This window comes from Homo sapiens, chromosome X (genome assembly GCF_000001405.40).
Source record: "Homo sapiens chromosome X, GRCh38.p14 Primary Assembly".
NCBI lineage: Eukaryota > Metazoa > Chordata > Mammalia > Primates > Hominidae > Homo > Homo sapiens.
Window position 1 is genome coordinate 133,316,408 of NC_000023.11, and position 26,940 is coordinate 133,343,347.

General features: G+C 39.6%; 1 protein-coding gene across 1 annotated transcript in view; it reads right to left on the reverse strand.

The window, feature by feature from the left end:
* GPC4 (glypican 4) overlaps positions 1-26,940 on the reverse strand; it is a 115,387-nt gene that overhangs the window by 16,305 nt on the left and 72,142 nt on the right. The window contains exons 2-3 of the mRNA NM_001448.3: positions 22,776-22,934; positions 7,738-8,129 (exon numbers count right to left, since the gene is read on the reverse strand). Coding sequence (NP_001439.2) covers positions 7,738-8,129; positions 22,776-22,934 — 551 coding nt within the window. The remainder of the gene's footprint in view (positions 1-7,737; positions 8,130-22,775; positions 22,935-26,940) is intronic.

Here is a 26,940-nt window from a genome sequence, read left to right on the forward strand (position 1 = left end):
ATGGCTTCTTTTGAGTAACAGACTATAGGAACCTTGATGGCAGTACATAAGCCTAATCCTTTCACCAGAGCTCCTAGAACTAGTACAGTATCTCCATGTACAATGTACACTCCACTATGGAGCTGGATGTTTTCTAGTGACAATTTTCAGTTTTCAATGTTTATTGACCAAATGAATCAATTTTTATGTTGGAGGGTAATTTAGGATGCAACTGTTCTACATGGAGCAATATCTCACTAGATACTTGGATGAGATAACATTGTTTAGTAAAACAATAATGACTTACTGAGCCAGTGCTATGTATTTAGAACTATTCAAGGTGCCGCAGGTGAGAAAAATGATATGAATATATGTGTATTACTCATCAGTCCCTGCTCACAAAGAATTCAAAGGCTCAAGAAAACACTGCTGGATGTGAAGAGAAAAAAGTTCACTTGAACAAAACCAACCAGAAAACAATTACATATTTTACCAATTTTAATGTTTTGAAAGAACTATACTAATGTAGCAGAGATGATCAATTCCTACTATAAAACGGTACGTAATGTGCATAAAAATAAAAAGATTTCTACATTATTTACATAAGAATTAGGTTTGCTTCATTTGCTTTTGTGGGGTGGTATGATAGAAAGGGAATATCATCTGGACTGAGTACTTCCATATTAACTCATATATCAAAATCAATCTGAGTTATTGACCCATAATGACAATACATTGATACCAAATTTCCAAGCCTATAAAATCCTTCAAGACTGACAGAGGTCTTTCTTAATGATAAGGTAACTGTAGGAGGTACCTTAAAATTTAAGATTTTAGGAGCCAATCTATGTTTCATGATAAAAGTCAGTGTGTATGTGGGGGGGAAGATGCCTCATTTCCTTCTCAACTTATTAAAACTCTTTTAAAAATACTCATTCCTGCCTTCCTCAGGATATATACATTTATCATGACATCTGCATGCCATATCTGCTATAAAAAGCCTTTTCTGCAAAGACTCTTTTCATATACATTGAGACTTTCTACCCAATAACCTGCATTTTCCAAACACCACATTAAAAACTACTGCAAGCAGCCTGAAAAAAAAAATGCTGGAACAGAACTCTTCACACAGCCTGGATTTCATTTCAGTAATTCAGAACGAGCCTTAAGCCACATTACACAGTGATGACAGTCAACACGCTGTACTGAAGCTAGAAATGCATTTCCTTTTAGTTTATTTCACCTCCTAACATACATTCATTGCACTATTTTTTTGTTTTTGTTTTTTGCACAGCCAATAGTAGCAAGCAAGCAGAAAAGGTCTAGATTTTATCTGTTGCTTGGTAACAAAAGCACCCAATAGAAATAACAGAACTATTCCCAGAATTACGGTAAGAGTGATAGGGAACCCACACTTGCCATGGGATGTGATGAGTTTCTTCAACAATTTCCTAACCAGTTTTGAATTCAATGCATATACACAAAGAAAGGAGGATGAGAAGTTCCTAATGATTCCTCTAATAACAAAATCTAAAAAGCATAACAAAATATTCAGTCAGGAATATTTCTGGAGATGTTGTAGATAAAATTGAAGCTTCATAAATACTTGAAATGTGTCTTGTCTTTGTTTCAAATGATTAGACTCAGTTAACACTTATAAGTCAACCCCCTTGAAAAGGGCTCTATTTTTGTTTTGTGAGTATGTAAACTCAATGTATTCAATTTGACACCTCCTGTACTCCTACCATCCTCACCCCTTCCCCACTCCATAGCTTGAGTCCCATCTTCCTCTTTGCAATTCTAGATTTTAATATTGTGAGTGAAAAAGAATATTGAGAGTTGAATATGTGTCTACACTTTGCTTCTTAAAAGCTTTTTGTATTGACTATTTTTTAAATTTGTATTTATAATGATTTTGGGAAGTGGTAAAATAGTTTGTTTAGTACTCTTGTAGGCTTCTTGGTTTCCCACAGTTAATTCTGAGAATGATGTCCAGAAGAATGCAACACGGGGAAGGCACAACTGCTTACATCCCCTTAACCTGGGAGGTGGGGAGATGCAAAACTAAGGCAAATAGAAATAAAGAGGGAGCAATGAAAATTGTTTTCAAGGCAGGACAGTCATTTAGACATCCCAATGGTGAGGCACTGATTTCTAATTATAGCTTCTGTAGTTTGGGGTGGGGTGTAGGTGTAGACATAGTCCCATTATGTCAGTGTTAACTGAAACCATGAGAATGCAACTCTCTTTGGCATAGGAGCTATTAATTTTCATGATGCATGTAACCACTTGTGCATTTCTGAAAGACCACAACAGACTTCATCCTTCCAGGCAAAACTGCTGCTACAAGCAGGTAAATAAGAAATGTATCATGAACCATGACAAATAACGATGGAATAAGTAATACAAAGATGTGTAGTACGAGGGTACTCTTGAACCACCTGTTACTAATTAAAGGGGCTTTTGGGAAGTTTGAATTGTAAAGCTCAATGGAGTGAGCTGAAATCACTGGAGATGTGGGCCCAGAAAAAACAAAAGCAAGGCAAGTGTACTTCAACTATGAAGTGTCTTTCTCTTGAAGTAACTTAAGCTTGCTGGTGCTAATGGCCTTGCAAAGGTTCAGTGATAATCAAATCATTGCTCAACTTTTAACTGCAACCCCTTTGCTGCAAAAGTAAACTGGACATCCACTCACGAAGAGAAAGTGGGAACATCTCTAAGTATGCAAACAAGACCATGATGCTTTTCATATTTCACTTTAAAGACCTCTTTGTAGGCCGGGCGCAGTGGCTTATGCCTGTAATCCCAGCACTTTGGGAAGCTAAGGTGAGAGGATCACTTGAGCCCAGGAATTCGAGACCAGCCTGGGCAACATAACGAGACCCCCATCTCTACAAAAAATAAAAAATTAGCTGGGTGTGGTGGCACGTGCCTGTAGTGCTAGCTATTTGGGAGGCTGAGGCAGGAGGATTGCTTCAGTCCCAGAGATTGAGGCTGCAGTGAGCCATGATCACGCCACTGCACTCCAGCCTGGGTGACAGAGCAAGACCCTATGTCAAAAAAAAAAAAAAAAAAAAAAAAAAAAGAAAGAAGGAAAGAAAGAAAGACCTCTTTGTAGACGAGGTGGCTGATGGGGTGGCTCTCTTCAATTAGGGAACACATCCCTTACTTTGAAAGGTCTTTTTTTCAGGCCCGAAGCAATTAATATTACTGGGCACCAAAAGAAGAAATGTTCATTTCTTGGGTTGTTCTAGATCCACCTGCAAACTGTGCTTCTTGGGCAGGAGTTAGCAGAGGTGGGAACCCATATATATAAAAAACATTACTTGGGTATCCAAACTGGTAGAGAATCTTATTTATAAATTAATCAAATGAATTTTTCAACATGTTCATTTTGAACTGTTTTTGATAGCCAGATCCTTTATTGTCTTTCCAATACCACTGTATCTCAAATTTTTTAACTGGCTGTCATACTCCAAAAATTAATGTAATAAATATTTTCTCAGGTATGCAAGTATGCCTTGCATGCTTGTATGCAGATGCATTCCACAGATGGTAGATATTTATAGAATTCTTGTTTCAGCGCCTTTAGAAACTGACTTGATGCCTATATGCTTTATTCATTTAGATAATATAATTAATTTAATTAAAGGGTTTGATTTCAAGTCAGTCCTTAAATTTAGAAGCTCAGTTGTAAAGCAAAAACATTGTCTTTTTTAGGCATTCCCAATTGTGACCACAATACTTAAAGTAGCCACAAAACTTTATTTTCAGCTAAACAATTGGCAAGTTATGTTTCACTCTATGTAAATTCAGGCATATTGCTCCTATTCACGGTCTTCCCATACAACTACACAATTATCTCTTAGGCTAACATGAGAATACAATGACTATAGAATAGAGATCAAGTCTAAAAACAAAAATTGTTAGGGTTATATTTAGAAAGTAAATTTCTCAAGGCCAGATGTGGTGGCTCATGCCTATAATTCCAGCACTTTGGGAGGCCGAGGTGGGCGAATCACCTGAGGTCGGGAGTTCAAGACTAACCTGACCAACATGGAGAAACCCCATCTCTACTAAAAATACAAAATTAGTCGGGTATGGGCGCATGCCTGTAATCCCAGCTACTTGGGAGGCTGAGGCAGGAGAACTGCTTGAACCCAGGAGATGGAGGTTGCAGTGAGTCGAGATTGCGCCATTGCACTCCAGCCTGGGCAGCAAGAGCAAAACTCTGTCTCAAAAAAAAAAAAAAAAAAAAAAGTAAATTTCTCAAAGAATTTAACAATACTAAGGTAGACAGGGGATCTTTTTTTTTCTATTAAGAAAAATTCACACCAAAAGCAACATCAGAAAGTGATTGTCTGTAATCCCAGTGCTTTGGGAAGCTGAGGTGGGAGGATCGCTTGAGGCCAGGAGTTCAAGACCAGCCTGAGCAACACAGCGCGACTCTGTCTCTACAAAAAACAAACAACCAACCAACAACAACAACAAAAACCCAAAAATTACCCAGGCATGATGGCGCATGCCTGTGGTCCCAGCTACTCACTCGGGAGGCTGAGGCAGGAGGATTGCTGGAGCCCAGGAGATCAAGGCTGCAGTGAGCTATGATTGTGCCACTGCGCTCCAGCCTGGGTGAAAGAGCAAGATCCTGCCTCTTTTAAAAAAGAAAGGAGAAAGAAAAAGTGATTGTGACTATTTCACATTGGGTCACATACCTTTGTTGCATAAGTAAGGGTGTCTGAATCTTAAATATCAAAGTCAAGCTTCTTGGTTTCCCATGGTTAATTCTGAGAACGACGTCCAGAAGAATGCAACACAGGGAAGGCACAACTGCTTACTTCCCCGTAACCTGGGAGGTAGGGAGACGCAGAACAAAGGCAAGCCTTTTCTAGCCTTCAATCCTCTAACCTGCAATCAATTGTCTCTAAACTTCTCAGTTTGGCTACCCTCCCCATCCATGTTTGTAGGTTCAGTTCTCTAAAATAGCTCCAACCTTGCAAAGTGAGGCTAACACCAAGGCAGGCTTGAGTCTGCTGTCTGGCCCTTTTTCTCCAAGAATCAACACTGAAACTCAAAGGAAGGGGAGAGGGTTAACATAAAGAAAGTACTTTTCAAACTAGCAAAGGGCTCTTGACTCTCTTTCTCTTTGGCACAAGTGTACACGCACATGCACATGCATGCACAGATGTCCAAATCACACAGCAGTGTCTTTCTGCCCTTTCAGTGGAGGATGAACATGAGGAATTGTTGAAGGAGGGCAAATGTGCTGGGTGTACCACAATGCAAATAACTTTGATCTGATTCACTGTGCACTGTTTTAGGGACTCTGACAAAAGTATGTCCAAGATTAATAATGGTTGCTGGGGTTGGCAGAAGTTCAAGAATCAGATATTATTCCTTTAATTATAACAATCATCTCCCCACTTACCCTCAACTCCACCCTCATATGCCCCAATAAATATTTGCAATTTACGATGAAAATATCAAAGAAGGAGTGAACAAAAACATACTAGAAAGAATTGTTTCCTGACAGTTTATGGCCTGGAGATGAGAGAGAGAACAAACAACATAATGAATGCAATCAATCAATTAATCCTTATTATCACCCAATTCTAATATGAAAAATCCCATGAGCACCTATTTTTCATAATAAACCATTCTTTAGAATCTTTATCCTCACTCTGGTGAATATAAGTTTTCTCTCCAACTAGAGTGACCCGTGTATCCTGGCCAGTCCACGACAGTCCTGGTTGCTTACTAACAATTAGTGACACCTGGCCAGCACGGTGGCTCATGCCTGTAATCCCAGCACTTTGGGAGGCAGAGGCAGTCAGATCACCTGAGGTCAGGAGTTCAAGACCAGCCTGGCCAACATGGTGAAACCCCATCTCTACTAAAAATACAAAAATTAGCTGAGTGTGGTGGCACATGCCTGTAATCCCAGCTACTAGGGAGGCTGAGGCAGGAGAATCGTCTGAGCCTGGGAGGTGGAGGTTGCGGTGAGCAGAGATCTCGCCACTGCACTCAAGCCTGGGTGACAGAGCGAGATTCCAAAAAAAAAAAAAAAAAATTAGTGACACCTGTTGTCGTCTGAGCCTGGGAAGTGGAGGTTGCAGTGAGCGGAGATCTCGCCACTGCACTCAAGCCTGGGCGACAGAGTGAGACTCTATCAAAAAAAAAAAAAGTGACACCTGTTGTCTGTGAATAATTTGTTAATAAGCACCTCCCGATTTAGACAGTAAGTGTCCTGTTTGGATAAAAAATTATATGGTCACCCTAACTGTAGATAAACTGTGAGAGGCAATCAGGTGTCTATTTTCATGTTTGTAGTGCTGTCCAGTTTTTATGCTGTCCATTCTTCCAGTCCTCAAAACAACCAAATGGCCTCAGCAGAATCTGCTGTTGTTGTGCATCCAGGCTTTTTAGCAATGGCCTACAATTTGGCTTTCCCTTTGAGGGCCTAAAGTTGACAGCACTAAGATCAGCCTTGCAAAGATCACTTTGCCCCAGTATATTTATGTTTCTTCCCTGGTATTGACTCATGGAAAGGTAGAGGTGGTGGGGTCTTCAAGAAGTTTTCAGATTTCATTTGGGGGAGGGGAGTGGCAGTGAAGGAGCAGTGGAACCCCTTTCCCCTTGAAATCTTGCTCAGATCCCTGCTGTGTGAAGTCAAAGAAAGCAAAGATTCTCTGGTGGAACTGGGAGATAAAGGCACAGTTGCACGGTCTCACCCACAAAAGACTTCCTTCTCTGTTGCTTCTGCTCAATGAGGCCCCTAAAGCAATATCCTGCTCAAGAACAGAGTCTATCGGCCAGGCATGGTGGCTCTCACCTGTAATCCCAGCACTCTGAGAGGCCAAGACAGGTGAATCATTTGAGGCCAGGAGTTCGAGACCAGCCTGAACAACATGGTGAAACCCCGTCTCTACTACAAATACAAAAAATTAGCCAGGCGTGCTGGCACACGCCTGCAATCCCAGCTACTAGGGAGGCTGAGGCAGGAGAATTGCTTGAGCCCCGGAGGTGGAGGTTGCAAGTGAGCCGAGATCCTGCCACTGCACTCTGGCCTGGGCAGCAGAACAAGACCCTGTCCCCACCTCCCAAAAAAAAAGAACACAGTCTATCTAGTCCAATTCGCTGAATTTCCCAATGAGGAAACAGGTTCATTTCATCAGCTCCTGATCACATACTACAATTTCACTTTCTGTATTGGTAATTCTGCAGAGTCATGAGTCAACAGCAGTGTAGTCCACACTAATTGTCGTAGAAACCTGTCTTCCAAAGAGCTCTGAGTACACTTTCTAACAAGGAAACATATGCTCACAGAGATTAAATGCTTTCCTAGACTATGACTAGTAGGCTGACAGTCACACAAAACAACCAAATGTGGAGCCTGTGTGTGTATGTTTGTTTGTGCAGAAAGGAAGTAGAATAAGAGCTAAAATGGGTATGGCAGTATTAACCTACTTTAAAAATTAAGATTCCTGAGTAAACATATATTCCCCCTTCTAAGAATAGCTACAAAAAAACCCCACAATAATAATGATAGGTGAAGATTCTGATCACAGTATTGTTTAGTAACTCTAAAATGTACACGTGTAAGGACAGTGTGTGGGAGAGAAGAGGTAAGAGAGGAAGAAAAGGCTGCCATTGAACCAACAGAATTTTGGTGATTTATTTTTCTACCTTTCCCAAACATTCTTTTAACATGAAAGAAAACAAAACAAAAACAAAACAGAGAAGACAAGGAGTACTTACCACGGAGACCTTGCTCACGACATCTCCCGCAACCGCTAAGCCTTGAGCGAAAGTACGGGCTGCTACAAAAGCACGAGTAACCTGGAGCTTCAATTTGCGAGGGACATCTCCGAAGGGCTTCAGCTGCTCCGTATACTTGCTCACACATTCCAGATACTCATCTGTAAAGTGGTACTGGGAGTTCACCAGGCGGAACATCCGCTCCAGGAGGCGAGCCCAGAAGTCATTTAGCATTTCTTCCAGGTTCACATTTCCCACCACGTAGTAACGTTTCAACTCTACGAAGAGATCTTTAAATAGCTCAGAATTTTGCATGTATAAATGGCCATATGTCTTCACAAACATATCATTCAGGGATTTCTCTGCATTTTCAAGTAGTTCTTTGAAGAATTCTGAAACCAACACCAAAAAAAAAAAAAAAAAAAGGAAAAACGAGAGTTTTCAGTGTTTAAATAACTGCTTTTCCAGTAAATTTGAAAACTGGAAAAAAAACACAATTAAATTGGAAAACGTGTTTGTATATAGGGTGAATTTCTTTTGGGGAATGTGGCATCTCAGATCATTTGCCAATGAAAGGAAAGCTGTGTCACAAAGTCACTTACATAGGTGTCTGAGAGAGGAAAAAAATGAAAATTTAAACCAACAGCTTCTCAGGAGTCAGTACAATACACACATGCTCTCATTCTCTCTCTCACTTTCTCTCTGTCATAGGTGAATAAAGAAAAACTGGAAAAAATGTGCACATGAAGTCTAAAACATGAGATTTCCCTCAACTTTTTACTTAAGAATCTAAGCCAAAGTTAACCATGCCTTCTAATTGTAACCTAAGAGCAGGACAGGTGTTTTCAAAAGTCGTTATTTTACTTGGGCCTGAATTTTTTTTTCATTTCTCCTTTTCACTTATCTATATGATCATGCACTATAGCTGCCTGGAAAATGGTTGAGGCCAAAAAACATAATCAAACACCCCTACAAGCAAGCACATAAGTTTTCTGAAAATAAGTTCCTGGGTGTTTCTCTGTGACAGTAGTACAAATTGGGAGTATCCAGCTTGATCCTGGGTTTCTAAAGGATTTATACAATAACATCATGAGACTCTTTTCAATGTTCCTTCTGATAGTGTGTGTGTGAGTGTGTGTGTGTGAGAGAGAGAGACAGAGAGAGAGAGAGCACATGCATAATGGACTTAATAATAAATATAGCATATTTATGAGACAACATGAAAAAAACTGAAAAATGTAAATGAGAATACCTGGTTATTTCAGATTTACTTTTTGGCCACCATACAGCCACAGCCTAAGGTTAGAGATTTTAATCTCTTAACTACAAATGGCAAACTAGTTTTCTTCTGAAGCTTTCCTCAGGAACTTCAATGAAAAAACAAGCCAAAAGTGTATTTGTAACATTAATCATTCTTAAAGAATCTCTTGCCTGGTATAAAAATAAACACCTCATGATATCAAGTTTATAAGCAGGAAATATAACAAATACCAAAGCAAAATATAAGGACCACATCAAATAAGAAACTGCCTCTGAGTAAATATGGAACAGAAAAGAAAATATGACACCTACTTCAAAGCCAGAACATTGGTGAGCTTATCAAAATGCAATAGTTCTACAAAACCATTCTCTTCTCACATTGGGTGGGCAACTCAGAGACTGGCCACTAATACCAAATAGCTTTTCAAAACCTGGACTGAGGAAACTGAATACTTTTGCAGGGAGATGTATGTGTGTGACTCTCCTGACATGCCAAGAGATTCTATACCTATGTCTCTCAGCCCCTAACTCATCACTTAGTTATTCCTTGAGGCCTGAGGATGAAGTCCACAGTCCTCCCTGGTTCCAGCTTTTCAAACATTGTAGGTATGGCTTGTGTTTTTTTTTTTTCTTTGCTTCTCTCCTTTTCCTTTTATCTAGTTCTTTTCCCTTCTATTGCTTGCCTTTTATTTACTGGGCTTTCTTCAGAGAAAGAAAGGGAAATGGACTTCCTCTGCATAGTAAACAAATAGGCAGGTCAACTCATCCCCATTACAAGTGTGCAGCCTGACATTTTTACCAAAGCTCTCTCCCTGAAAGTGAGAGGGCAGAAACTGCACAAAGAGTTAGGTGAACAATATAAGAAGCATACCAATCAGCTACCTGGGATGGCCTTTTATTTTCTCCAAAATCCCCTGAGTGGTTCTCAAAGTGTGGGCCTGGGACCAGCAGGATCAGCATCACTTGGACACTTGCTATAAATGCAAATTCTTGGCCCCACCCCAGAGTTACTGAATCAGAAACCCTGGAGGGTCCCTTTTGCTGGGCATCATTCCATTTTTACTATGGGCACTCTCAGCACCAGCTAGCCAACTGACTTGTCCACAGGCCAAATGGCTTGGTGGACAGGCCAAAATTTTCAGCTATCTGTGATTCTGATATACCCTAAAGTTGGAAAACAACTGCTCTAGCTGCTGAAACTTCTCCCATTTCACCTATCAGTTGCAATCACCAACAACTCAGGGGCTGTGTTGAGTATGAAGCAGTCAGGACAAGCATTAATGTTTTAATTAAGAGAAAATGTCTTTCCAATGAATTGTGTTTTTAAATAAATTTATTGCATTCCTAGGAATGACTTTTTTATTGTCTTGGGGACAAATTTTCTTGTGTGGAACTCTCTCAACTAAGTGTTAACATAGATGATTAAATGTATGCAGTACTTTTCTAGAGTTCAAAGTTGAGAAGGGACCTTAAATGTCATCTGGTCCATGTCCCACACCATGCTTGAATTTTGCTAGCATCCTTGCCAAGTGGTGATTGCTCATGGAGGGCATAAAAGGCACACGTGGATTGCGTTATTATATGACCAGTGTGTTGCACACATAGCTATCACATATTGGAAAAACAAAGCTTTGCCATCATTGAGAACAATATGCAAGCCTTGTGTGTCAATCCAGTGCTATTAATATTTCATGACCAAAAAGAGTGGATTCCAACAGCTACCACATGTCCTTCCTTATATTGAATTTTTATTATATTGCTCATAAAATTGGCACATATCAGCAGAAATTGGACATTCAGAATTATTTGAGTTGTGCTTTCAGACTCATTTAGTAAGTAATTCTCAAAACTCACTTGCATTTTTAAGGAACGTCACCTAGAGTCATGTTGGTTTTTAGGGGTGGGGCGAGGTGCGGTGTGACATTTCAAGCTTAGTTTTAATTTAAAACTTCTAATAAATGTCAAAGTTTAGCCTTTTGACAAAGTGCTGCAAGTCAAACAAACACTAAATCACTGAACACTTTACAGAAAAAGTAAAATATTATCAATCTTGGAGTTCCTCATTCAGGTCAAGAGCTTATGGGTGGATGCAGCCATATATAACATAGCTACTTTGGAGTACAAGAGAAATGGCCTAATGAAGAGGAGAATGATTTGAAACTGACATGCCCCTGTCCGACACCCACCATGGACCATACTTTGGTTTCCATGACTCACATTCTGTCCAGGAAAGTGTGTGTGTGTGTGTGTGTGTGTGTGTGTGTGTGTGTGTGTGTGTGTGTTTATGCTAGCGTGTACTTTAAGAGCCTAGGTTGGTGCTATATACATACTAAATCCTAATTCATTTCATCATTCAGAAAATTTATTTTCTTTCCTTCACATTTTAAAAGACTCTTTAATGTGGCTATATAAGTTGCAAATATGAAGACCATTTGGGTGAGCATATGGTTAATAAATGCTTGAGAAATTCTATAAAACTGATAATAATGAGTTAAAACGTCATAATTTCTCCAAATGGGTATGCAATTTGACAAGTATGTACTGAGTGGCTCTTATGGGCTCAAATCAAAGCACATGGTGTTTTGCCATGCATCTTAACCTTCTTCTTGCACAATCAGACCATAATGAAAATTTCTGGTAAGACAAATTTCCCCCATCCAATTCACCTTTACCATACACTGCCACTCTCCACATACGGTTTTATGAGAATACCAGAGATTTTTTTAAACATCTATAAAATTGTTAATCCCTCACTACATACAAAAAGTTCCTAAATATTCATATATTTAATCTATGAGAGTCAACCAGACAAAAATCAGGGGATCCAGAAGACCCAGACTCATTTCTTTTTAGATGGATTCTTACTAGCCCTGTTGCTTGGGACTATTCTACCTATGCCTTTTGCCTCAAAGGGACCTCATAAGGATGGCAGACATCATTTAAATTCTAAAATCCATAGCAATTGGGTACAATATCAACCAAAGCATAATAATTTGCTATTAGAAAGAAGGAGAAAAAATCCTTTTGCATCTGTTCCTCCTATTAAACTAGCAGCTCGCATGTTCTTGCATAATTCTTTCACATCCCCAATCCTCCTTTCTATTCCCATGACATTTACTTCTACAATGAGGAATGAAGCATAAATTAGCCATTCAGATCCTGGTCCACAGCCATCAATAGCAACTTCAGTAATCGCTGCAATGTTCATCTCCATTTTTTTTTCAATCATTCTCAGAACTCAGAATCAGGGTCAGATCTTAACTGCTGAAGAAGAGCTGTACAGGCCCTAGACACCTAGCAATCATTGCTCATAATCATTATGCCTGAAACTAATTACAATACACTTGGTGACTAAGAGAGAACCAGCCAAGAGCAATGTAAACCAGGATTCCACAACGATCAAAAGCCAAGCAAATTGGAAGTTAGATCTGTGCAGCAATTGCTTGTATTCATGTAAAAATGCTGCTCAGGGAATCTGTTTTAAGTAAAGCTACTGGTGTCTGAAAGAAAGTTTGAGAGGTGGTGGTTTGCAAGGATTTGAAATATAGTGTCTGTGATCAGCGTTTATTTCCCCTTCAATTTTCAGTTTGAAGGCTTAAGTATATACATTCTAAAGATAAAGCAGCTGCTACTCCTTGAGCTCATGAATGGCCACTCAACACAGGATGGAAATAAACACTGTAACATGCTATGAATCTAAAGCAGGAGGACACAGTGGGAAAAACAGGAGATCTCTCATTTGGGGACTGTATGACCTTGCTTGGGCAAAAGGCCTAATCTCTCTGAGCCTCTTTTATCCCATCCATAAAATGGGGCTATTATCACTCACCTCATATGGATAATGCTTGGCATAAAGTAGATGCTCAACAAATAAACATTATTACTAATATGTGAGATGATAGTGTTGTCACTCTTAGAGTTTCTTTGTATCTACAATCCTTTAAAAAAAATCTTTAAAGACTGGTTTTTATCTTTCCTAGTGGAGTCAAACATTATCCATCTGAGGGGACATAAATGAAGCCAAAGCTGCTGGAGGTCTTCTAAGAAGACGCAAGGCCTTATAAAATTGGGAACTGTTTATCCTAAGGGAAATGCTTAATGGTTCTACCTTTAAAGGTTGTGAAACGTCCCAGACATCTATGAGGGTGGGAGTGACTGCTGGGTGAAAAATAGGGAATGGGGAAACCTCACCCTTGAGAAGAGAGCTTACATTACATTAAACAAGAGAATACCATACACACACCACACACATATAAAAAATAAGAATAAATCAGCAGGTCGACACCCCCCACCCATGTATTTCATTTGCATACTACCTTCTTTGCCAGAAGTCCACTTGGTATAAGGATTGAGCTAGGGAAGTGTAAGTACTTTCCAGTTCTAAAATCTAATCATTCTAAATGCAAGTAGTACTAATTTAACATGGGAAAAACTAGAGTGAAAAGACAAAACTTTTCCATATAAATGTTTTCTATGTAAATATCCTGTCTTTTAAAAAAGAGAAGAACACCATGTACTTCTGGAACTTCTATCCCCAGCTACTTGTCTTGCATCAAATAAACATTCAAAATTCTTGAAATAGGCCAAAGAACCTCCAGTTCTGCTACTAAATGCCACATTAGTTACTCCTTTATAAACAATCAACTGGCTATTGATTAATGCATTCTAGAATTAACCCATAACCTTAAGAGATTGGGGCCCTTTTCATTTGATCCATTTTTTTTGGTGCTATAAATTACCACCTGGTATTTACATTATTAGGAAGCTGCCTTTTACATATAAGGATTGATTTTTCTCTTACTATAAATGCTGTATTTCATACCCCTGGTGTGGCATGCAAACATTAAGTTACTAGATCAACAGAAGTGCTGAAAAAAGAAGCCTCCTTGTAAATGCTACAAATCATACCTTTCAAACTTCTAAGAAAATTTAAAGAGTTACACCCATCGACTCTTTCACCTAAGATCAAGTAATTAATGAAGAACAGCAAACATAAGCATATAAAAATGTAAGGAAAAAAAGGAAAAGCATCAAGCATTTTACTGACAACCTGAAATTTGATTTATCACTATCTCCTCCTGTTTTGCTTTTTTGATAAAGTCTGCATATGTTTTTTTGTTTGTTTTTTTAAACAGGCATTTTTTTCTCGAGCACGGCATAATCTCACTCTTCTAAAGAGTACCTGCTAAGGCTAGTGTACCAAAAGATCATATACTCAACTTATGTTTATCAATTGATAGCAAATCAATATGCTGCTCCTTGGCCAGGTGCAGCAGCTCACACCTGTAATCCCAAAACTTTAGGAGCCCAAGGCGGGAGGACTGCTTGAAGCTAGGAGTTTTAGACTACCCTGAAAAGTGAGACCCCATCTCTACAAAAATTTAAAAACTTAGCCAGGCATGGTGCTGCATGCCTGTAGTCCTAGCTACTAGGGAGGCTGAGATGGGAGAATCGCTTAAGCCCAGGAGTTCAGGCTGCAGTGAGCTATGATTACACCACTGCACTCCAGCCTGGGCAACAGAGTGAGACCCTAAGTCTAAGCAAAACAAACAAACGAACAAACAAACAAACAAAAAACAGGCTGCTCCTTGGTGGACAGGCCAATCACCAGCTGTAGCTCTTATTAGGAGCTATTAGCATATCACAGAGTACTAGGGGATTCTGCCAAAATAAGATCAGCCTTTCTTCCCAAAGTTGCTTTTATTCGTGAACACATTTTGAATGCTAAGGCTCCAAGGGAATAAATACAATGTTTACTGATGGCCCCCATCTTTGGCTAATGTGGCCAGGGACACAGGCTCAGTATTGTAAGGTCCCTTTTGCTGGGCATCATTCCATTTCTACTAAGGGCACTCTCAGTACCAGCTAGGCAATTGGCTTTAGCATGCCCAGAGTTCTGTGCATTCGGAAATGCCCAGAGAAGGTTTCAGACACGTATAAGTAAGCTAGGGAGCTGGAGGAGCCATTGCAAGTGTTCCATGTACTAACCTCTATGTGGATCAGTCAGAGAGGTACCATATAGCTTCAAACACACATCTCATAATAGAGTCTATCTGTTAATAATCTAATGTCAAGAGAAAAATCAGGCCAGGCACAGTGGCTCACGCCTGTCATCCCAGCACTTTGAGAGGCCAAGGTGGGCAGATCACCTGAGGTCAGGAGTTCGAGACCAGCCTGACCAATATGGTGAAACTCTGTCTCTACTAAAAATACAAAAATTAGCCAGGTGTGGTGGCATGAGCCTTTAATCACAGCTACTTGGGAGGCTGAGGCATGAGAATCACTTGAAGTGGTTGAAGTGAGCCAAGATTGAGCCACTGCACTCCAGCCTGGCCAACAGAGTGAGACTGTCTAAAAAAAAAAAAAAAATTCAGAACATGAAATAGCAAATCATTATGATACCAATTTGCATGTATGTATATGCATTATCTACGTACACAAAAAGATTAGGTAAATACAAGAGTGACGGTTGGGTGCTGGGGATCAAGGGTAATTTTTTTCATTCTATCTTTCTTGATTTTGTTCCCCCAGATATTTCAGTGACATTTTATAATCAGAAAAGTGATATACCTTCATGCTTTCAAAAGTAACTATTTCCCTTTATTCCCTTCATTCTATTTAACCACTGGAGGATTTGATGTATTTTTCTACTTTTCCAAATTTTCTACAGTGAGCACTGTAATACTTAATAAAAAGAAAAACATTATTTTAAAACTTCACCAAAGCAGTTTCCATATTTTTCATAAAGAAATATATAATTTTTTCCTAAATAGTATTCCTCATTATAGCAACTTGAAAAATATGGACAGGTAAGAAGAAAATATAAATATAATCCCCACTGCTAAAAGACAGTAACAATGGCTTATCAAATTTCCTTCCTCCCTTTTTCCTATGAAATACATGTTGCTACGTGGTTGAAATAAAATGTATTTACACCGTGTTCTTATGTAACACTATATGGTTAGCATTTTCTATGTGATTAAAACTTCTTCAGAAGCATCATTTTTTTTTTCGAGACAGAGTCTTGCTCTGTCACCCAGGCTGGAGTGCAGTGGTGCAATCTCAAATCACTGCAATCTCCACCTCTCTGGTTCAAGTGAGTCTCCTGCCTCAGCCTCCCGAGTAGCTGGGATTACAGGCGTGCACCACCACATCTGGCTAATTTTTGTATTTTAGTAGAGATGGTGTTTCACCATGTTGGCCAGGCTCGTCTCAAACTCCTGACCTCAAGTGATCCACCCATTTTGGCCTCCCAAACTGCTAGGATGACAGGCGTGAGCCACTGCACCCAGCAGAACCATCATTTTTAATGGCTGCATACAATGACACCACATGGACGGAGAATAGTGTAATCATTGTGGGGCATGCAAGCTTATTTCCAATTTCCTACCACTAGAAATAATGCTGTGATGAACATCCTATTAACATCGTACATAAGTGTTTATGCAGATCTTTCTTTCCTTGGGATGCACATCCAGAAGTGGAATTACTAAATCAATGAGTATGAACATATTCAAAACTGCTGACACACTGCCAAATCTATCTGCAGAAAGGGTGTGTCCATGTACCATCCTTGCTGTTAGAGTCATATTTATTACAAGAGTTTCCATTGCTCTGCTAATTCTTTCGAGAGAGGGTGATGAAGATGGGTGTGGACAATGAACAAGAAAGGGCTGAAGCCTGCCTGCACAGGGAATTCTCTCAATCAATCGGTTGGAGTCAGTGCTAGATCAACTAAGCCCTGTTCTTTGCCTGGACAGACAGACACATAGAAGTAGAGCAGGCAGTGATGAACAACATTCCAAACTCCCAGGCCCAAAGAGCAATGAACCAACAGAGTTGATAAAAGCAGTTCATCTGAAGCTCTTCTATGTATTTACTTCCCTCCAGACAGATCCATTGCTTCTTGCTGATGTCATGCCTTCTGAAGAAGTCAAAGCTAAGAGGAGAGGCCCAAAGTTAAAGTGCTTTGGGCTCGTAAAGCTGCACATGCATTTTCAATCCGATGAGATAGCCAATGCTAAAGTCACAATTGGTCACACTTCAGATAACAACTCAAAAGGCAGAAAACCTTTGTCAATAGAGAAATGTGTGCATTTTGTCTGAGCTTTTGATTTGATTACAGTAAGCTGGCAGTGGCTCATTCTGGTCAAGTTTCACAGAGAGATTATAAAAGAATTAGCAAAAGTAGCTGGCTTTTTAGTCTCTTTCATATGGAAAGAAAAGAAAATAGAATCATAAAGGAAAGAGTAGCAGTGCTTTCAAACTAAATCGGAGACCACTGGCATAATCTGGAAGAAACACTGCATTTGCAGGAAGGCCAGAAGGCCTCATGTCTTTCTCCGTACTTTCGAGGCTACTCAGCCTATGAAATGTTGCCCGCTGTACTACAGCAGAGGTTTTAGAAAGCAATGATTTTTTTAATGTCTTAATGAAATGTGAGGTGAGGATTAAAAACCAATCAATGTTGTATATTATGCTATGCATATCTATGACACACTTACTTTGAGGGTGTTTTAGACTTTTTCCAATGTAAAACCCTCTCAGGGGATCTTTAGTAAGTGTGGCTATATAAACGACAATTATCTATATAGGTAGAAAATAGTTAAAGTCAGGGGTCAGGAAAATTCCAGAAATTTCAGCTTAGTCAATGGCCATGAAGCTTATCTGGACATATTTGTCTTTTAAGGTTAGCAGATAGCTCGCTTCCACTGAGGTCATGCCTTTCACGGGCATATAAATTTTAATGCCTCCTACTCACTGATCCTCTGCACTGGTTAATGGCTAATATGAACTACAGAAAATTTGCAGTTGGTGATTAAAATGCAGATTCTGCTAAGTCTGAAGAGTGCTTCGTGCCCTGCCTCTGTGAAGTGATAGGAAACAAGGGGCCTTAGGGCTTAAGGGAAGGGTAACTGCTTGGTTTACACTTGGCCCATGCAGATAGATGGGACAGACAATTATTTCTTTTGTGTGCATTTTAAGCTAATTCAGAAAATTTCTACTATTATTCAAGTTAACAAGCTTCAGGCTCATGGGAGGGTTTTTCAAAGACCTGGTGAAAGTAGCTGAGAGTTAAAAAATGATAGAGGGAAAATAGAGGGTACCATACAGACGGCTAATTAACATCTTGTAAGGCCTTTCACTAAAGCAGCTGGTCTAGTCACATGTTTAAAAGATTCACAGAATTGGTAGGATTGAAAAGGGTTTTAGAGAGCATCTAGCTCAACCCCCTCATTTTATGGATGGGAAAACTGAGACTCATTTAATTGCCCCAGGTCACAGTCACAGTGGGTTCACTGCAGAACTAGGATGATAATTCACTGTGCACTGCCTCCCATCCAAAGTTATTAAATTTGCTCTGAAAATGACAAATTAAAGGAGTTTTCCCAATAGACTAGCATCAGACAACAACCATTTCCTTAGTTATTTAAACATGCAGAATATCTACAGTTTGATACAGGCAGTTATGTAGCAATGACATTACTTCATAGCTGTAACATCATTTTTACTATGTAATTCAGAAATACATTTAACATGGCAGCTGTAATCACCTTAACCTATTTGGGATTTTAACTATGCTTCTTTTAAAAACAACTATTTTCTCACAAAATGCCAGGCATTTGGGGGCGGGTCTTTATGCTGTGGTCCCAAAACACGGATTATGCCCCACTTCTATTTCTATTCCCTTTGCCAAGCAATTTTCCCTAACTCCCTCCTGAATTAAGTATGTGATTAGCATATTCATGAGATGACTGATTCAGCTAAGTTAATTAGCAGCTCTACTATCAAAAAATTCCCAGAATTGGCCAAGAGGGGGAGCAGCTAGCTCTGTCACTACCACAATCTGGCTCTATGTCTCCAGCAGAATACAGATTTCTGGTATTAAACATCCTAAGTTAAAAAGTGGGTTTAAAAAATGATAGCATAGAAAAACACAGAGGCCAGTCTTTAAACTCAGTGATATAGATTTAAAATATAAGAAATCTGATGATTTTTGAGGGGGAGGAAGTGTTCTCTTGTACGTCACCCAAATCCGAACACACACACACATACACACACACACACGCACACACACGAGTTTATATCTTAAAAACTGATATAGACCGTACAGTCTCTTGAGATGTGCAAACGATAGGAAATTAAAAGTACAGAATAAAAAAGGGCCTTAGAGGTAAGGGAACTGGAGAAGGGACTCATCTCTCAAATCCAATGACTATAAAAATGTCAGAACTGGCACTAGAACCCTGACCAGGGTCAATTGAGGAAGAATGATGGAAAACTGGGATAATGAGATGATTTCTGGTAACAGAAGGCTAACTCTCTACAAGCCCCCAAACTTTATTTTTGTTGAAAAGGTTTTTTTTCAATAATTACTTTAAAAGTAATTATTTCTACCTTAGAAAGAAGTGGTATCTCATAGACATAGACAGGTTTTGATGATAGACAAAGTTGTCTGGGGTCAAGGTCACCACTTTGAATTTACACTGTAAGCTTGCAGATGACAAAAGGTACTCCCTTGAAGTTGCCTGACCCATAATATTTCCATGTGTCCTTTTACTATTTCCTTACTATATGTCCCCAGCTGTCTCTGTGCAACTTCACTGCTCCATCTTGGTTCCCTACCACCATCTTTTTAGTCTGCCCAACTTTCTCTCTTCAATTCACACCAAGAGCCAGGGTTTAGCTATTATAATAGTTTGGATAATTCTTTGGCCAAAGCATCCACCCTTGAATTTCTGAGAGTCAAGACATATCCTATAGCCTGTTAATCAATGCCCTTGGATCGGCAGGCATTGAGAATTACTGGCAAGTCCTAATTGACAGCCTTAAAAATTAGTCAATCATCGCCAGGCGCGGTGGCTCATGCCTGTAATCCCAGCACTTTGGGAGGCTGAGGTGGGCGGATCACCTGAGGTCAGGAGTTCGAGACTAGCCTGGCCAACATGGTGAAACCCCGTCTCTACTAAAAATACAAAAATTAGCTGGGCGTGGTGGTGTGTTCCTGTAATCCCAGCTACTTGGGAGGCTGAGACAGGAGAATCGCTTGAACCCAGGAGGCAGAGGTTGCAGTGAGCCGAGATTGCGCCACTGCACTCCAGCCTGGACAACAGAGCAAGGCTCCATCTCAAAACAAACAAACAAAAAATTAATCAATCAATGCAGCACCCACTAGGGGACTATGATTTGGTGGGTACCAGTCAACTAAGGTTTTACCATATAAAATTATCTCATTGTTTCTGTAACCTAACATGGAGAAAATGTGCAAAGTATTCTGGCATTCCAGTATTCCAGCATTCCAGTATATTGATCTCCAGATCAAGTACATTTCAGCTACTACCCATTAAAAAAAAACCTTGTATCTATGTTCCCTAACTTTATTGTCTATGCCATATTTTATGTTATATTATATTATTTTATTTATTTGTTTTGAGACAGGGTCTTGTTCTGTTGCCTAGGCTGGAGTGCAGTGGCGCAATCTTGGCTCACTGCAGCCTTGAACTCCCAGGCTCAAGTGATCCTCTCACCTCAACCTCTCAAGTAGCTGGGACCATAGGCGCACACCACCACTCCTGGCTAATTTTCATATTTTTAGTAGAGACAGGGTTTCACCACATTGCTCAGGCTGGTCTCGAACTCCTGGGCTCAAGCAATCTGCCCGCCGTGGCCTCCCAAAGTGCTGGGATTACAGGCATGAACCACCATGCCCAGCCTATGCCATATTTTAATTTGAAGTCAGAAAAAACACTGGAGTTTCATAATCATTAAAGTTTTGAAACTGATCAAGGCACAGTGTTAACATATTTATTGAATGTGAAGCCTGGTAGGGAAGAGCAAGAAAAACTTTCTATCCTTTTTAAAAAACACATGTTAACACTTACTGATAAAGTTTCTCTGTATGGTTTAAGAAGAAAACAACAACAACAACAAAACACTACACATTGGAATCATAGTAGTGCTATAAAACCATGGGGAGCGAGAAGGGAAAAGAATAGCTAAACCAGTAGGCCCATAGGCAATGACTGTGGGCTCCCTGCCAGGAAGATACAAGTCTAACAAGAAATGAGGTGACTTGCAGTAGAAGGCCTTGGAACTTGGAAACAACTTTATCTCCACTACATTGTGCTGCCAACGGGAGAGTCATTTCTAAAGAGCAGATTTTTTTTTCCTTCTAAATTCCATTATGAAGCCCCTAAGTGGTGATTTTTAAATATCAACATCTTAAGTTTTCAAAAATGACCATTTAATTAGCTTTCTAAGTTTTCTCCCCAAAGTAAAAGAAAAGGCTTAGGTTATTATCTTGAATGAGAAATGCCATGGTCAGGAAAACACCATTCTTTTCAATAATAATAATTCAGTGATCAGGAGAGACAGAGGAGGTCTAATGATAGATTTTGCCAATAACACCCATTTTCACATGGTATTAACATATTGTTAAATACTTTTAACAGCTACAGCATATATGTAGGGGGATATGGGTAATAAGAAGGATATACAGATATATAAATTGTTCCCATTCATCCAGGGAAAGGTGATAGAACTAAGACATAATTTTGCACATAGCGTGTTTGAAAAAATGGGTAGGATCAACGGCATACTACATAGACAGTGTTTTAGTTCAACTACATTATAGATTAAATATGCTTTTGTGGTCTCACCTGGGAACCTAACACTTATTAAATTGGTTATAAGTTTGAAATAACACATCTCAAAGCCAACATTTGAAATACAACCTGTTCTTTAACTGAGGACTGCCTTATCAGCTATATCAAATCTAATTTAGTCTAACTTTCTCACCATGGTAACAAGCCCTTTGCAGAAATACTCAAAGACATTTCATATCTAGAAAATTTGTCTTGTACTTCTTCACCACACATAATGTCAAGAAAAGCATGCTTCAAAGGTACTATGTAATTAGAATGGCCTTTAAAACAGGCACAAAGGAAATCAATCCTCTTAAAACTAAATCTACTTCATAAAAATCTTCAAACTGAGTGAACAGCACCAGGGAAAAGAATCCTGAGGTGTTTTGGACTCCATATTCTATTTTTTAAAGTCTGTTATCTGTACCATTGTTCAGATAGGATCAAAGTACACTTTCAATTGGCTCATATTGGCTATTTCTTCAATATTAAGAGAAAGTGTGCCTGCAAGAAGCCACGTCTGGCATAGGTGATTAGAATGGGTTCTGTCGTGGCTTTTACATGGAAAGACTATGCCAGAGCTTCAGCTAATGTGAGGTTGGATGGAGCCCAGCTTAATGAAGACTATAGTAAAATGGCTACTTTTGGGTCTCTGCTGCATGGAAACTCAAGAACTTTAATCCTGCCTGTGTTCTGCAAAACTTTTAGGAATTCTAGTTGTCTTTGGGGATCCATTTTGAAATTTAATTTGAAGTCCAGCATCTGTAAATTCTCTTTATTTTGACTAAGACAGTTTTCAGATGCCTGCTTTTTATTATGAGGTCTTTTTTTTTTTAAAGGGACTTGCGTCAACAACACTATTCTGTGTTCACCCAAGAAAATAAATCAAAGCATTTAAGTTAAACTAATCTATTTTTTGTCTCCTTGTGACCATATTTCCATAATGCCTACCATACAGATTCCAGTGCATCCGGAAGTATTCTAGCCATAAAGCTACAGGGTAAACTCGTCTCTGGTATCCAACAAGGACAACATCTTGGGAGAAAACTTAAGCACTGAGGGAGCAGAGGAGCTGTGAAAAAGCTACAGTACAGACCTAACTGCCGGTTCTTACATATGACTTGAATAACATACCATCAAACTTCTTGTAACGTGAAGCAAAGACAGCTTGCAAATGATTGCACTGTTCGCTGACCACACTTTTGAAATCATCTTTACTTTGCAGGCTGTACTTCTCCTCCATCTCTTGAGAGCAGCAGGTAGAACCCTGGGGACAGATCTTCAAATGATCACCTGCAAGATAAAAAGTAAGACAGTCAATGTCTATCATCATTCATGAAGTCCAAGAGGGAAAGGTTTGATTTAGGTTCATTTCAACCTGTGAGGCTCCTGCAAAGGCCCAGGCAACATGTGTATCTAACAAGTTCCAGGAAGTCTAAAAATATTCATTCCCTTTTTGAGAAAATAAAATAATAAAGCCCTCTCCAAAAAGCAAAAGAACTTTCCAATCAGAGAGATGGCTAAACCAACAGGAAAACTGGTGTAGTCAATAAACAATATAATATTCCATGTCAACTAAAGTCTCTTTTATAAATTCCCAGAGATTCTCATATTCTATGCTAAATACTGCAGAAGTCATGCAAACGAGACACAGTTTTTCCAGATTTGGGAGTTTACACTCCAAGAGAGACTGTCCTTAATGACGAATGGTTTATAAAATATGTGACAACAGCCAAAAACTGAGCAAATACATGTGCAATAGTTACACTGTGGGGAAACAAAGGGATTTGTGCATTTCAAGGGTTGCCAGCAAAGAGGAAACTATAGGGGTTTATGCTGGATAATCTGAGCCTATGATAAATCACAAAGGGGTGATGGTAATCCTCAATCCTTGAGTTTAAGATTTTTTTTATCCAATGTATTCTGTGCAGATGTCAGAGACTATATCTACCCTATGATTCTGTGTATGTAGCATCATCTCAGTATAGACCAACAACTTCCAATAAACACCTTTATGTAGTGATGCAGCCCCAAGAGTCAAGGGAAATGTCAAAGACACATCACTCCACAGCAACCCAACCCACGAAGTATCTCCCTCCCTTATACCAACTGCATTTGGCTTGCAGTTTGGAGGTGAGGGTTGGGCGGGGGGTTTTTTCTATATGCCCCAGAGTTCCCCCCCTTGTTCTCCTCTGTCACAGAACAAAATTGTGCTTTGAAGAGACGATGTCTCTTCTCTTATAATGACCACAAGATGCAATGCCACTCAAAAATAAACCCCACTAGCTACTATCACTTCAGTCTCTCCAATATTAATTGGTGTGGTATAATTTTGTACACGTTTACAAGGATTGACTCTCACTGTTCCTTCTGCTATTGCTGTCCATGTTCTATGCAAGTCAAAAGGGGTCTGAAAAGAGAGATGATCTGAGGAACTCAGGAATGAGTATACTGAAGACATGTGAACCTGTCAATGGTAAGTGTGACCAATCAACAAAGGGATGGGGAATTAAAAGCTAATCATTCAAACAACACTAATCATGGAAAACGAAATGGTCCATGAGCTGGCCATTGCTGCTTCTTGGCCATGTGTACTTACAGGAAATAGGGCTTCACCTAATGGAGATATCAAAGCAGCTTTAGGGTAGCAGGGTATTTCAGATAAAATTGAGCTGGCAATTTATTTGACTAACACTAGATTGTCAACTGCACATATGCAAATAATTATATAATCATATATGTTCCCGATCATTCTTCCTTCCTGGCAGTTAAAAAGTAGGGAGAATGTTAGTGCCCCCAAAAAAGGGGAGTATGCAGCATTAAAGGACCATGTAAGGAAGGCAGAAAGAGCAACAATCTTCAAATAACTTCCTCATCCAGAAACTGCTAAAAGTTTATTTTGGCATTTCTGAAAACCTTGGTCAATAAATAATTCTACTAACAGAAAAAAAAGGGAAAAAAAAGGTTGTGTAATCAAGTTTAGAGCTGTGAGTCTGCAGAATATCTTAGATCTCATTAGTGACAGAAGAGGGGTTGCTAAGGCTCGGTTTTATGGAAACACCTTTGTTACAACCAAAAACAAAACTCCCTCTTCACTGGCTTAACAAGTTCACAGCAGGCCTTCGGTACTGGGACACATAATTAACACAGAAAGATTCAGTTGTCTCCTGGTTTCAGTGTTGAGGTAAGGGTTCCCTCCATTACAATCTAAACACATAAAACAATATGAAGGCCCCCAAATAGTACAGTGCTGTCACTATATTAAATAATACATATTATATTCATACCCCCTGTAGAAAATGAATTGGAATGCTCAGAATGAGAACCCACATAGGGTGATTTAAATGAATTACTTCATAATAAAGACTTTAAATAAAATTTTTAAAGATTGCTATAAGCTAAAATTCATCATAGGATAGGCTGTTTTTTCAAGCACCTGCAAAGATTCCATTGTGGTATGCATGAATTTTCAAGGCAAAATAACTTGTCAGTTTGGAAAATAAACTATACTCACCTAATGTTAACAGGGTTCACACCTAATAAAGGGTCACTTACTGGATCCTATCAAAATAGGTTTCTAAGTTCACAGAAAAGTACCCATCATTTTTCCCTGCCCCCAGTGTACATGGGTACATGCACAAACACATGCGTACACACACACATACACCTCAAAGCAAGAAAATACTAAGAGACAGCAGGAAATAATAATTTTCTCTGTTGAAGAAGGTGCTAGATGTTGACAGGTTTAAACTCACCCACAGGGAATTTATACTAAGGATACACCCTTCAAAAACGGGTAGCAGCAATAAAAGTTTTCCTAGTAACCTGGTCCGAGTGGATGGCACCATTTACACTGCCACACATAAAAGGCCCAGAGTGGCCCATGCACTCCACCCATCTCATCTCCACCAGTGACCCTCAAGCAGAACCTTATCGAGACTTGCTGATACTGGAACACTGGGGCACGTCTTTGTTTTGGCACTATTTTTTTTTTTTTTTTTTTTTTGAGACAGAGTCTCACTCTACTGCCCAGGCTGGAGTGCAGTGTCGTGATCTCGGCTCAATGCAACCTCCGCCTCCTGGGTTCAAGGGATTCTCGTGCCTCAGCCTCCCAAGTAACTGGGATTACAGGCGTGCACCACCATGCCTGGCTAATTTTTGTACTTTTAGTAAAGACAGGGTTTCACCATGTTGGCTAGGCTGGTCTCGAACTCCTGACCTCAGGTGATCCACCCGCCTCGGCCTCCCAAAGTGCTGGGATTACAGGCGCGAGCCACCATGCCCGGCCTGCAATATCTAATTTTAAAAAGAAAAAAATAGTGCACTTTCATCTCAGAGAGATCTTTCCGGGAAGATTTTGTCTAATGGTGAAAGGCTTGCCTTATGTAAAGGACAACAACAGGGTAGATACTTGGCTAATGTTTCTGCTGGCAAAGTCGTCTGCCCCTCAGTGCAAAGTTCACACTTTGGGCCATATAGCCCCGAATGCACCACTTATCCTGTCTGCATTTCTAAAAAGCGTTACTTGAAAATGTAATTTGACATTCTTGCCAAAAGCCCTGTGACACACGTAGTCCAAGACACACTTGTGAATTAAACCCCAAGACATTCTTGGGCTACTGGGGATTCGGTGCCACAACTAGTTAGTGCTAATGAGAAGCACAGGGAGGAAAAGGAGGACAAGTCTGGGTACATTTGAAAATGAAATTATAGCTCCATGTTCTGGTAAAAAATCTTTGAAGACTTGAGCAACTAATTAAGTTTTTTTTTTTAACTTGAATATTTCTACTTTAAGCACCCAAAATGGTTTATTTTGAAGGCTAGGGCGTGCATATTATTTGAAAGGCATTCTGTCTTATGTGTTTGAGACTGCTTCTAAAATGCTGTGCCTGAGTGAGAAATCTTTTCTTTCTGGAGATTTCCTTTCTAAGCCCGGTGATCTTATATTCTTCTCACTGAAGAAAGATGCCACAATTTTTCCTTTAGGCTGAGAGAGCTGAACACGAGGACAACAGAATAAAGATGGGACAGGTAGACAGCCACTGTGGGGGTAGCATTGGACACTTGCACTTTTTAACAAGGGCTCTAGGTGATTCTGACCCTTCCTTAAGAATTGTTGTCAGAAAGGCTTCTGAATTCCAGCTGTGGAACAGCTGAGTATAGCAGTTAACCAGTTAGTCTACTACCTTAGTGAATAGTAGATTATGATCTACAACTGCCATTTCTCTCCCCTATTTCCCTAATTCAATCTCCTGCTTCCATGGCTCTTGACATACAGTTTCTTCTTCATGTATCGCTT